The 13,161-nt window shown below is 41.0% G+C and overlaps 1 annotated feature.

Moving 5' to 3' along the window:
- Positions 1–13,161: part of a centromere (Linear centromere model derived predominantly from reads generated in PMID: 17803354. This region does not represent an actual centromere sequence, as long-range ordering of repeats and unmapped WGS contigs is not provided by the model. For details of model production, see http://arxiv.org/abs/1307.0035.) that runs on past both edges of the window.

Consider the following 13,161-nt stretch of genomic DNA (forward strand, 5'->3'; position numbering starts at 1 on the left):
AACATGCTTTTCGTAGTGTCTGCAAGTGGACATTTGGAGCGCTTTCAGGCCTGTGGTGGAAAACGAATTATGGTCACATAAAAACTGGAGAGAAGCCTTCTCAGAAACTTCTCTGTGATGATTGCATTCAACTCACAGAGTTGAACCCTCCTATGGATAGAGCAGTGTTGAAACTCTCTTTTTGTGGAATCTGCAAGTGGATATGTGGACCTCTCCGAAGATGTCTTTGGAAACGGGAATATCTTCACATAAAAACTAAACGGAAGCATTCTCAGAAACTTCTTGGTGATGTTTGCATTCAAATCCCAGAGTTGAACCTTCCTTTGATAGTTCAGGTTTGAAACACTCTTTTTGTAGGATCTGCAAGTGGATATTTGGACCACTCTGTGGCCTTCGTTCGAAACGGGTACATCTTCGCATAAAATCTAGACAGAAGCATTCTCAGAAAATACTTTGTAATGATTGAGTTCAACTCACAGAGCTGAACATTCCTTTGGATGGAGCAGGTTTGAGACACACTTTTTGTAGAATCTACAAGTGGATATTTGGACCTCTCTGAGGATTTCGTTGGAAACGGGATAACTGCACCTAACTAAACGGAAGCATTCTCAGAAACTGCTTTGTGATGATTGCATTCACCTCACAGAGTTGAACATTCCTATTGATAGAGCAGTTTGGAAACACTCTTGTTGTGGAATGTGCAAGTGGAGATTTGGAGCGCTTTGAGGCCTATGGTAGTAAAGGGAATAGCTTCATAGAAAAACTAGACAGATGCATTCTCAGGAACTTTTTGGTGATGTTTGTATTCAACTCCCAGAGTTGAACTTTCCTTTGGAAAGAGCAGCTATGAAACACTCTTTTTCTAGAATCTGCAAGTGGACGTTTGGAGGGCTTTGTGGTTTGTGGTGGAAAAGGAAATATCTTCACCTAAATACTAGATAGAAGCATTCTCAGAAGCTTCTCTGTGATGTCTGCATTCAACTCACGGAGTTGAACACTCCTTTTGAGAGCGCAGTTTTGAAACTCTCTTTCTGTGGCATCTGCAAGGGGACATGTATACCTCTTTGAAGATTTCGTTGGAAACGGAATCATCTTCACATAAAAACTATACAGAAGCAGTCTCAGAATCTTCCTTGTGATGTTTGCATTCAAATCCCACAGTTGAACTTTCCTTTCAAAGTTCACGCTTGAAACACTCTTTTTGCAGGATCTACAAGTGGATATTTGGACCACTCTGTGTCCTTCGTTCGAAACGGGTATATCTTCACATGACATCTACACAGAAGCTTTCTCAGAAAATTCTTTGGGATGATTGAGTGGAACTCAACAGAGCTGAACATTCCTTGCGATGTAGCAGTTTAGAAACACACTTTCTGCAGAATCTGCAAGTGCATATTTGGACCTCTCTGAGGAATTCGTTGGAAACGGGATAATTTCAGCTGACTAAACAGAAGCATTCTCAGAACCTTCTTCGTGATGTCTGCATTCAACTCACAGTGTGGAACCTTTCTTTGATAGTTCAGGTTTGAAACACTCTTTTTGTAGAAACTGCAAGGGGATAGCTGCACTTGTTTGAGGCCTACCGTAGTAAAGGAAATAACTTCCTATAAAAAGAAGACAGAAGCATTCTCAGAACCCTCTTCGTGATGTTTGCATTCAACTCACAGTGCTGAACCTTTCTTTGATAGTGCAGCTTTGAAACACTCTTTTTGTAGAAACTGCAAGTGGATATTTGGTCCTCTCTGAGGATTTCGTTGGAAACGGGATAAAACGCACAGAACTAAACAGAAGCATTCTCAGAACCTTCTTCGTGATGTTTGCATTCAACTCACAGTGTTGAACCTTTCTTTGATAGTTCAGGTTTGAAACGGTCTTTCTGTAGAAACTGCAAGTAGATATTTGGACCTCTCTGAGGATTTCGTTGGAAACGGGATAACCCGCACAGAACTAAAACAGAAGCATTCACAGAAAACTCTTGGTGACGACTGAGTTTAACTCACAGAGCTGAACATTCCTTTGGATGGAGCAGTTTCGAAACACACTATTTGTAGAATCTGCAAGTGGATATTTGGGCCTCTCTGAGGATTTCGTTGGAAACGGGATAAACCGCACAGAACTAAAACAGAAGCATTCTCAGAAACTACTTTGTGATGATTGCATTCAAGTCACAGAGTTGAACATTCCCTTTGACAGAGCAGTTTGGAAACTCTCTTTGTGTAGAATCTGCAAGTGGAGATATGGACCGCGTTGAGGCCCATGGTAGTAAAGGAAATAGCTTCATATAAAAGCTAGACAGTAGCATTCTCAGAAACTTCTTTGTGATGCTTGCATTCAACTCACAGAGTTGAACTTTCCTTTCGAGAGAGAAGCTTTGAAACACTCTTTTTCCAGAATCTGCAAGTGGACATTTGGAGGGCTTTGAGGCCTGTGGTGGAAAAGGAATTAACTTCCCGTAAAAGCTAGATAGAAGCATTGTCAGAAACTTCTTTGTGATGATTGCATTCAACTCACAGAGTTGAAGGTTCCTTTTCAAAGAGCAGTTTCCAATCACTCTTTCTGTGGAATCTGCAAGTGGATATTTGGACCTATTTTGAAGATTTCGTTGGAAACGGGAGAATCTTCACAGGAAAGCTAAACAGAAGCATTCTCAGAAACTTCTCTGTGATGTTTGTGTTCAACTCCCAGAGTTTCACGTTGCTTTTCATAGAGTAGTTCTGAAACATGCTTTTCGTAGTGTCTGCAAGTGGACATTTGGAGCGCTTTCAGGCCTGTGGTGGAAAACGAATTATGGTCACATAAAAACTGGAGAGAAGCCTTCTCAGAAACTTCTCTGTGATGATTGCATTCAACTCACAGAGTTGAACCCTCCTATGGATAGAGCAGTGTTGAAACTCTCTTTTTGTGGAATCTGCAAGTGGATATGTGGACCTCTCCGAAGATGTCTTTGGAAACGGGAATATCTTCACATAAAAACTAAACAGAAGCATTCTCAGAAACTTCTTGGTGATGTTTGCATTCAAATCCCAGAGTTGAACCTTCCTTTGATAGTTCAGGTTTGAAACACTCTTTTTGTAGGATCTGCAAGTGGATATTTGGACCACTCTGTGGCCTTCGTTCGAAACGGGTACATCTTCGCATAAAATCTAGACAGAAGCATTCTCAGAAAATACTTTGTGATGATTGAGTTTAAATCACAGAGCTGACCATTCCTTTGGATGGAGCAGGTTTGAGACACACTTTTTGTAGAATCTACAAGTGGATATTTGGACCTCTCTGAGGATTTCGTTGGAAACGGGATAACTGCACCTAACTAAACGGAAGCATTCTCAGAAACTGCTTTGTGATGATTGCATTCACCTCACAGAGTTGAACATTCCTATTGATAGAGCAGTTTGGAAACACTCTTGTTGTGGAATGTGCAAGTGGAGATTTGGAGCGCTTTGAGGCCTGTGGTAGTAAAGGGAATAGCTTCATAGAAAAACTAGACAGATGCATTCTCAGGAACTTTTTGGTGATGTTTGTATTCAACTCCCAGAGTTGAACTTTCCTTTGGAAAGAGCAGCTATGAAACACTCTTTTTCTAGAATCTGCAAGTGGACGTTTGGAGGGCTTTGTGGTTTGTGGTGGAAAAGGAAATATCTTCACCTAAATACTAGATAGAAGCATTCTCAGAAGCTTCTCTGTGATGACTGCATTCAACTCACGGAGTTGAACACTCCTTTTGAGAGCGCAGTTTTGAAACTCTCTTTCTGTGGCATCTGCAAGGGGACATGTAGACCTCTTTGAAGATTTCGTTGGAAACGGAATCATCTTCACATAAAAACTATACAGAAGCAGTCTCAGAATCTTCTTTGTGATGTTTGCATTCAAATCCCAGAGTTGAACTTTCCTTTCAAAGTTCACGTTTGAAACACTCTTTTTGCAGGATCTACAAGTGGATATTTGGACCACTCTGTGTCCTTCGTTCGAAACGGGTATATCTTCACACGACATCTAGACAGAAGCTTTCTCAGAAAATTCTTTGGGATGATTGAGTTGAACTCACAGAGCTGAGCATTCCTTGCGATGTAGCAGTTTAGAAACACACTTTCTGCAGAATCTGCAAGTGCATATGTGGACCTCTGTGAGGAATTCGTTGGAAACGGGATAATTTCAGCTGACTAAACAGAAGCATTCTCAGAACCTTCTTCGTGATGTCTGCATTCAACTCACAGTGTGGAAGCTTTCTTTGATAGTTCAGCTTTGAAACACTCTTTTTGTAGAAACTGCAAGGGGATAATTGCACTTCTTTGAGGCCTACCGTAGTAAAGGAAATAACTTCCTATAAAAAGAAGACAGAAGCATTCTCAGAACCTTCTTCGTGATGTTTGCATTCAAATCACAGTGCTGAACCTTTCTTTGATAGTTCAGCTTTGAAACACTCTTTTTGTAGAAACTGCAAGTGGATATTTGGTCCTCTGTGAGGATTTCGTTGGAAGCGGGATAAACCGCACAGAACTAAACAGAAGCATTCACAGAAAACTCTTGGTGACGACTGAGTTTAACTCACAGAGCTGAACATCGCTTTGGATGGAGCAGTTTCGAAACACACTATTTGTAGAATGTGCAAGTGGATATTGGGGCCTCTCTGAGGATTTCGTTGGAAACGGGATAAACCGCACAGAACTAAACAGAAGCATTCTTAGAAATTACTTCGTGATGATTGCATTCAAGTCACAGAGTTGAACATTCCCTTTGACAGAGCAGTTTGGAAACTCTCTTTGTGTAGAATCTGCAAGTGGAGATATGGACCGCTTTGAGGCCTATGGTAGTAAAGGAAATAGCTTCATATAAAAGCTAGACAGTAGCATTCTCAGAAACTTCTTTGTGATGCTTGCATTCAACTCACAGAGTTGAACTTTCCTTTCGAGAGAGAAGCTTTGAAACACTCTTTTTCCAGAATCTGCAAGTGGACATTTGGAGGGCTTTGAGGCCTGTGGTGGAAAAGGAATTATCTTCCCGTAAAAGCTAGATAGAAGCATTGTCAGAAACTTCTTTGTGATGATTGCATTCAACTCACAGAGTTGAAGGTTCCTTTTCAAACAGCAGTTTCCAATCACTCTTTCTGTGGAATCTGCAAGTGGATATTTGGGCCTCTCTGAGGATTTCGTTGGAAACGGGATAAAACGCACAGAACTAAAACAGAAGCATTCTCAGAAACTTCTCTGTGATGTTTGTGTTCAACTCCCAGAGTTTCACGTTGCTTTTCATAGAGTAGTTCTGAAACATGCTTTTCGTAGTGTCTGCAAGTGGACATTTGGAGCGCTTTCAGGCCTGTGGTGGAAAACGAATTATGGTCACATAAAAACTGGAGAGAAGCCTTCTCAGAAACTTCTCTGTGATGATTGCATTCAACTCACAGAGTTGAACCCTCCTATGGATAGAGCAGTGTTGAAACTCTCTTTTTGTGGAACCTGCAAGTGGATATGTGGACCTCTCCGAAGATGTCTTTGGAAACGGGAATATCTTCACATAAAAACTAAACAGAAGCATTCTCAGAAACTTCTTGGTGATGTTTGCATTCAAATCCCAGAGTTGAACCTTCCTTTGATAGTTCAGGTTTGAAACACTCTTTCTGTAGGATCTGCAAGTGGCTATTTGGACCACTCTGTGGCCTTCGTTCGAAACGGGTATATCTTCGCATAAAATCTAGACAGAAGCATTCTCAGAAAATACTTTGTGATGATTGAGTTGAACTCACAGAGCTGAACATTCCTTTGGATGGAGCAGCTTTGAGACACACTTTTTGTAGAATCTACAAGTGGATATTTGGACCTCTCTGAGGATTTCGTTGGAAACGGGATAACTGCACCTAACTAAACGGAAGCATTCTCAGAAACTGCTTTGTGATGATTGCATTCACCTCACAGAGTTGAACATTCCTATTGATAGAGCAGTTTGGAAACACTCTTGTTGTGGAATGTGCAAGTGGAGATTTGGAGCGCTTTGAGGCCTATGGTAGTAAAGGGAATAGCTTCATAGAAAAAGTAGACAGATGCATTCTCAGGAACTTTTTGGTGATGTTTGTATTCAACTCCCAGAGTTGAACTTTCCTTTGGAAAGAGCAGCTATGAAACACTCTTTTTCTAGAATCTGCAAGTGGACGTTTGGAGGGCTTTGTGGTTTGTGGTGGAAAAGGAAATATCTTCACCGAAATACTAGAGAGAAGCATTCTCAGAAGCTTCTCTGTGATGACTGCATTCAACTCACGGAGTTGAACACTCCTTTTGAGAGCGCAGTTTTGAAACTCTCTTTCTGTGGCATCTGCAAGGGGACATGTAGACCTCTTTGAAGATTTCGTTGGAAACGGAATCATCTTCACATAAAAACTATACAGAAGCAGTCTCAGAATCTTCTTTGTGATGTTTGCATTCAAATCCCAGAGTTGAACTTTCCTTTCAAAGTTCACGTTTGAAACACTCTTTTTGCAGGATCTACAAGTGGATATTTGGACCACTCTGTGTCCTTCGTTCGAAACGGGTATATCTTCACAGGACATCTAGACAGAAGCTTTCTCAGAAAATTCTTTGGGATGATTGAGTGGAACTCACAGAGCTGAACATTCCTTGCGATGTAGCAGTTTAGAAACACACTTTCTGCAGAATCTGCAAGTGCATATTTGGACCTCTCTGAGGAATTCGTTGGAAACGGGATAATTTCAGCTGACTAAACAGAAGCATTCTCAGAACCTTCTTCGTGATGTCTGCATTCAACTCACAGTGTGGAACCTTTCTTTGATAGTTCAGGTTTGAAACACTCTTTTTGTAGAAACTGCAAGGGGATAATTGCACTTCTTTGAGGCCTACCGTAGTAAAGGAAATAACTTCCTATAGAAAGAAGACAGAAGCATTCTCAGAACCCTCTTCGTGATGTTTGCATTCAACTCACAGTGCTGAACCTTTCTTTGATAGTTCAGCTTTGAAACACTCTTTTTGTAGAAACTGCAAGTGGATATTTGGTCCTCTCTGAGGATTTCGTTGGAAACGGGATAAACTGCACAGAACTAAACAGAAGCATTCTCAGAACCTTCTTCGTGATGTTTGCATTCAACTCACAGTGTTGAACCTTTCTTTGATAGTTCAGGTTTGAAACGGTCTTTCTGTAGAAACTGCAAGTAGATATTTGGACCTCTCTGAGGATTTCGTTGGAAACGGGATAACCCGCACAGAACTAAAACAGAAGCATTCACAGAAAACTCTTGGTGACGACTGAGTTTAACTCACAGAGCTGAACATTCCTTTGGATGGAGCAGTTTCGAAACACACTATTTGTAGAATGTGCAAGTGGATATTTGGGCCTCTCTGAGGATTTCGTTGGAAACGGGATAAACCGCACAGAACTAAACAGAAGCATTCTCAGAAACTACTTTGTGATGATTGCATTCAAGTCACAGAGTTGAACATTCCCTTTGACAGAGCAGTTTGGAAACTCTCTTTGTGTAGAATCTGCAAGTGGAGATATGGACCGCTTTGAGGCCTATGGTAGTAAAGGAAATAGCTTCATATAAAAGCTAGACGGTAGCATTCTCAGAAACTTCTTTGTGATGCTTGCATTCAACTCACAGAGTTGAACTTTCCTTTCGAGAGAGAAGCTTTGAAACACTCTTTTTCCAGAATCTGCAAGTGGACATTTGGAGGGCTTTGAGGCCTGTGGTGGAAAAGGAATTAACTTCCCGTAAAAGCTAGATAGAAGCATTGTCAGAAACTTCTTTGTGATGATTGCATTCAACTCACAGAGTTGAAGGTTCCTTTTCAAACAGCAGTTTCCAATCACTCTTTCTGTGGAATCTGCAAGTGGATATTTGGGCCTCTCTGAGGATTTCGTTGGAAACGGGATAAAACGCACAGAACTAAAACAGAAGCATTCTCAGAAACTTCTCTGTGATGTTTGTGTTCAACTCCCAGAGTTTCACGTTGCTTTTCATAGAGTAGTTCTGAAACATGCTTTTCGTAGTGTCTGCAAGTGGACATTTGGAGCGCTTTCAGGCCTGTGGTGGAAAACGAATTATGGTCACATAAAAACTGGAGAGAAGCCTTCTCAGAAACTTCTCTGTGATGATTGCATTCAACTCACAGAGTTGAACCCTCCTATGGATAGAGCAGTGTTGAAACTCTCTTTTTGTGGAATCTGCAAGTGGATATGTGGACCTCTCCGAAGATGTCTTTGGAAACGGGAATATCTTCACATAAAAACTAAACAGAAGCATTCTCAGAAACTTCTTGGTGATGTTTGCATTCAAATCCCAGAGTTGAACCTTCCTTTGATAGTTCAGGTTTGAAACACTCTTTTTGTAGGATCTGCAAGTGGATATTTGGACCACTCTGTGGCCTTCGTTCGAAACGGGTATATCTTCGCATAAAATCTAGACAGAAGCATTCTCAGAAAATACTTTGTGATGATTGAGTTGAACTCACAGAGCTGAACATTCCTTTGGATGGAGCAGGTTTGAGACACACTTTTTGTAGAATCTACAAGTGGATATTTGGACCTCTCTGAGGATTTCGTTGGAAACGGGATAACTGCACCTAACTAAACGGAAGCATTCTCAGAAACTGCTTTGTGATGATTGCATTCACCTCACAGAGTTGAACATTCCTATTGATAGAGCAGTTTGGAAACACTCTTGTTGTGGAATGTGCAAGTGGAGATTTGGAGCGCTTTGAGGCCTATGGTAGTAAAGGGAATAGCTTCATAGAAAAACTAGACAGATGCATTCTCAGGAACTTTTTGGTGATGTTTGTATTCAACTCCCAGAGTTGAACTTTCCTTTGGAAAGAGCAGCTATGAAACACTCTTTTTCTAGAATCTGCAAGTGGACGTTTGGAGGGCTTTGTGGTTTGTGGTGGAAAAGGAAATATCTTCACCTAAATACTAGATAGAAGCATTCTCAGAAGCTTCTCTGTGATGACTGCATTCAACTCACGGAGTTGAACACTCCTTTTGAGAGCGCAGTTTTGAAACTCTCTTTCTGTGGCATCTGCAAGGGGACATGTAGACCTCTTTGAAGATTTCGTTGGAAACGGAATCATCTTCACATAAAAACTATACAGAAGCAGTCTCAGAATCTTCTTTGTGATGTTTGCATTCAAATCCCAGAGTTGAACTTTCCTTTCAAAGTTCACGTTTGAAACACTCTTTTTGCAGGATCTACAAGTGGATATTTGGACCACTCTGTGTCCTTCGTTCGAAACGGGTATATCTTCACACGACATCTAGACAGAAGCTTTCTCAGAAAATTCTTTGGGATGATTGAGTGGAACTCACAGAGCTGAACATTCCTTGCGATGTAGCAGTTTAGAAACACACTTTCTGCAGAATCTGCAAGTGCATATTTGGACCTCTCTGAGGAATTCGTTGGAAACGGGATAATTTCAGCTGACTAAACAGAAGCATTCTCAGAACCTTCTTCGTGATGTCTGCATTCAACTCACAGTGTGGAACCTTTCTTTGATAGTTCAGGTTTGAAACACTCTTTTTGTAGAAACTGCAAGGGGATAATTGCACTCTTTGAGGAGTACCGTAGTAAAGGAAATAACTTCCTATAAAAAGAAGACAGAAGCATTCTCAGAACCCTCTTCGTGATGTTTGCATTCAACTCACAGTGCTGAACCTTTCTTTGATAGTTCAGCTTTGAAACACTCTTCTTGTAGAAACTGCAAGTGGATATTTGGTCCTCTCTGAGGATTTCGTTGGAAACGGGATAAACCGCACAGAACTAAACAGAAGCATTCTCAGAACCTTCTTCGTGATGTTTGCATTCAACTCACAGTGTTGAACCTTTCTTTGATAGTTCAGGTTTGAAACGGTCTTTCTGTAGAAACTGCAAGTAGATATTTGGACCTCTCTGAGGATTTCGTTGGAAACGGGATAAACCGCACACAACTAAAACAGAAGCATTCACAGAAAACTCTTGGTGACGACTGAGTTTAACTCACAGAGCTGAACATTCCTTTGGATGGAGCAGTTTCGAAACACACTATTTGTAGAATGTGCAAGTGGATATTTGGGCCTCTCTGAGGATTTCGCTGGAAACGGGATAAACCGCACAGAACTAAACAGAAGCATTCTCAGAAACTACTTTGTGATGATTGCATTCAAGTCACAGAGTTGAACATTCCCTTTGACAGAGCAGTTTGGAAACTCTCTTTGTGTAGAATCTGCAAGTGGAGATATGGACCGCTTTGAGGCCTATGGTAGTAAAGGAAATAGCTTCATATAAAAGCTAGACAGTAGCATTCTCAGAAACTTCTTTGTGATGCTTGCATTCAACTCACAGAGTTGAACTTTCCTTTCGAGAGAGAAGCTTTGAAACACTCTTTTTCCAGAATCTGCAAGTGGACATTTGGAGGGCTTTGAGGCCTGTGGTGGAAAAGGAATTATCTTCCCGTAAAAGCTAGATAGAAGCATTGTCAGAAACTTCTTTGTGATGATTGCATTCAACTCACAGAGTTGAAGGTTCCTTTTCAAACAGCAGTTTCCAATCACTCTTTCTGTGGAATCTGCAAGTGGATATTTGGGCCTCTCTGAGGATTTCGTTGGAAACGGGATAAAACGCACAGAACTAAAACAGAAGCATTCTCAGAAACTTCTCTGTGATGTTTGTGTTCAACTTCCAGAGTTTCACATTGCTTTTCATAGAGTAGTTCTGAAACATGCTTTTCGTAGTGTCTGCAAGTGGACATTTGGAGCGCTTTCAGGCCTGTGGTGGAAAACGAATTATGGTCACATAAAAACTGGAGAGAAGCCTTCTCAGAAACTTCTCTGTGATGATTGCATTCAACTCACAGAGTTGAACCCTCCTATGGATAGAGCAGTGTTGAAACTCTCTTTTTGTGGAATCTGCAAGTGGATATGTGGACCTCTCCGAAGATGTCTTTGGAAACGGGAATATCTTCACATAAAAACTAAACAGAAGCATTCTCAGAAACTTCTTGGTGATGTTTGCATTCAAATCCCAGAGTTGAACCTTCCTTTGATAGTTCAGGTTTGAAACACTCTTTCTGTAGGATCTGCAAGTGGCTATTTGGACCACTCTGTGGCCTTCGTTCGAAACGGGTATATCTTCGCATAAAATCTAGACAGAAGCATTCTCAGAAAATACTTTGTGATGATTGAGTTGAACTCACAGAGCTGAACATTCCTTTGGATGGAGCAGGTTTGAGACACACTTTTTGTAGTATCTACAAGTGGATATTTGGACCTCTCTGAGGATTTCGTTGGAAACGGGATAACTGCAGCTAACTAAACGGAAGCATTCTCAGAAACTGCTTTGTGATGATTGCATTCACCTCACAGAGTTGAACATTCCTATTGATAGAGCAGTTTGGAAACACTCTTGCTGTGGAATGTGCAAGTGGAGATTTGGAGCGCTTTGAGGCCTATGGTAGTAAAGGAAATAGCTTCATAGAAAAACTAGACAGATGCATTCTCAGGAACTTTTTGGTGATGTTTGTATTCAACTCCCAGAGTTGAACTTTCCTTTGGAAAGAGCAGCTATGAAACACTCTTTTTCTAGAATCTGCAAGTGGACGTTTGGAGGGCTTTGTGGTTTGTGGTGGAAAAGGAAATATCTTCACCTAAATACTAGATAGAAGCATTCTCAGAAGCTTCTCTGTGATGACTGCATTCAACTCACGGAGTTGAACACTCCTTTTGAGAGCGCAGTTTTGAAACTCTCTTTCTGTGGCATCTGCAAGGGGACATGTAGACCTCTTTGAAGATTTCGTTGGAAACGGAATCATCTTCACATCAAAACTATACAGAAGCAGTCTCAGAATCTTCTTTGTGATGTTTGCATTCAAATCCCAGAGTTGAACTTTCCTTTCCAAGTTCACGTTTGAAACACTCTTTTTGCAGGATCTGCAAGTGGATATTTGGACCACTCTGTGTCCTTCGTTCGAAACGGGTATATCTTCACATGACATCTAGACAGAAGCTTTCTCAGAAAATTCTTTGGGATGATTGAGTTGAACTCACAGAGCTGAGCATTCCTTGCGATGTAGCAGTTTAGAAACACACTTTCTGCAGAATCTGCAAGTGCATATTTGGACCTCTGTGAGGAATTCGTTGGAAACGGGATAATTTCAGCTGACTAAACAGAAGCATTCTCAGAACCTTCTTCGTGATGTCTGCATTCAACTCACAGTGTGGAACCTTTCTTTGATAGTTCAGGTTTGAAACACTCTTTTTGTAGAAACTGTAAGGGGATAATTGCACTTCTTTGAGGCCTACCGTAGTAAAGGAAATAACTTCCTATAAAAAGAAGACAGAAGCATTCTCAGAACCCTCTTCGTGATGTTTGCATTCAACTCACAGTGCTGAACCTTTCTTTGATAGTTCAGCTTTGAAACACTCTTCTTGTAGAAACTGCAAGTGGATATTTGGTCCTCTCTGAGGATTTCGTTGGAAACGGGATAAACCGCACAGAACTAAACAGAAGCATTCTCAGAACCTTCTTCGTGATGTTTGCATTCAACTCACAGTGTTGAACCTTTCTTTGATAGTTCAGGTTTGAAACGGTCTTTGTGTAGAGACTGCAAGTAGATATTTGGACCTCTCTGAGGATTTCGTTGGAAACGGGATAAACCGCACAGAACTAAAACAGAAGCATTCACAGAAAACTCTTGGTGACGACTGAGTTTAACTCACAGAGCTGAACATTCCTTTGGATGGAGCAGTTTCGAAACACACTATTTGTAGAATGTGCAAGTGGATATTTAGGCCTCTCTGAGGATTTCGTTGGAAACGGGATAAACCGCACAGAACTAAACAGAAGCATTCTGAGAAACTACTTTGTGATGATTGCATTCAAGTCACAGAGCTGAACATTCCCTTTGACAGAGCAGTTTGGAAACTCTCTTTGTGTAGAATCTGCAAGTGGAGATATGGAATGCTTTGAGGACTATGGTAGTAAAGGAAATAGCTTCATAGACAAGCTAGACAGTAGCATTCTCAGAAACTTATTCGTGATGTTTGCATTGAACTCATAGAGTTGAACTTTCCTTTTGAGAGAGAAGCTTTGAAACACTCTTTTTCTAGAATCTGCAAGTGGACATTTGGAGGGCTTTGAGGCCTGTGTTGGAAAAGGAAATATCTTCCCGTAAAAACTAGAGAGAAGCATTG

This window comes from Homo sapiens, chromosome 17 (genome assembly GCF_000001405.40).
Source record: "Homo sapiens chromosome 17, GRCh38.p14 Primary Assembly".
NCBI lineage: Eukaryota > Metazoa > Chordata > Mammalia > Primates > Hominidae > Homo > Homo sapiens.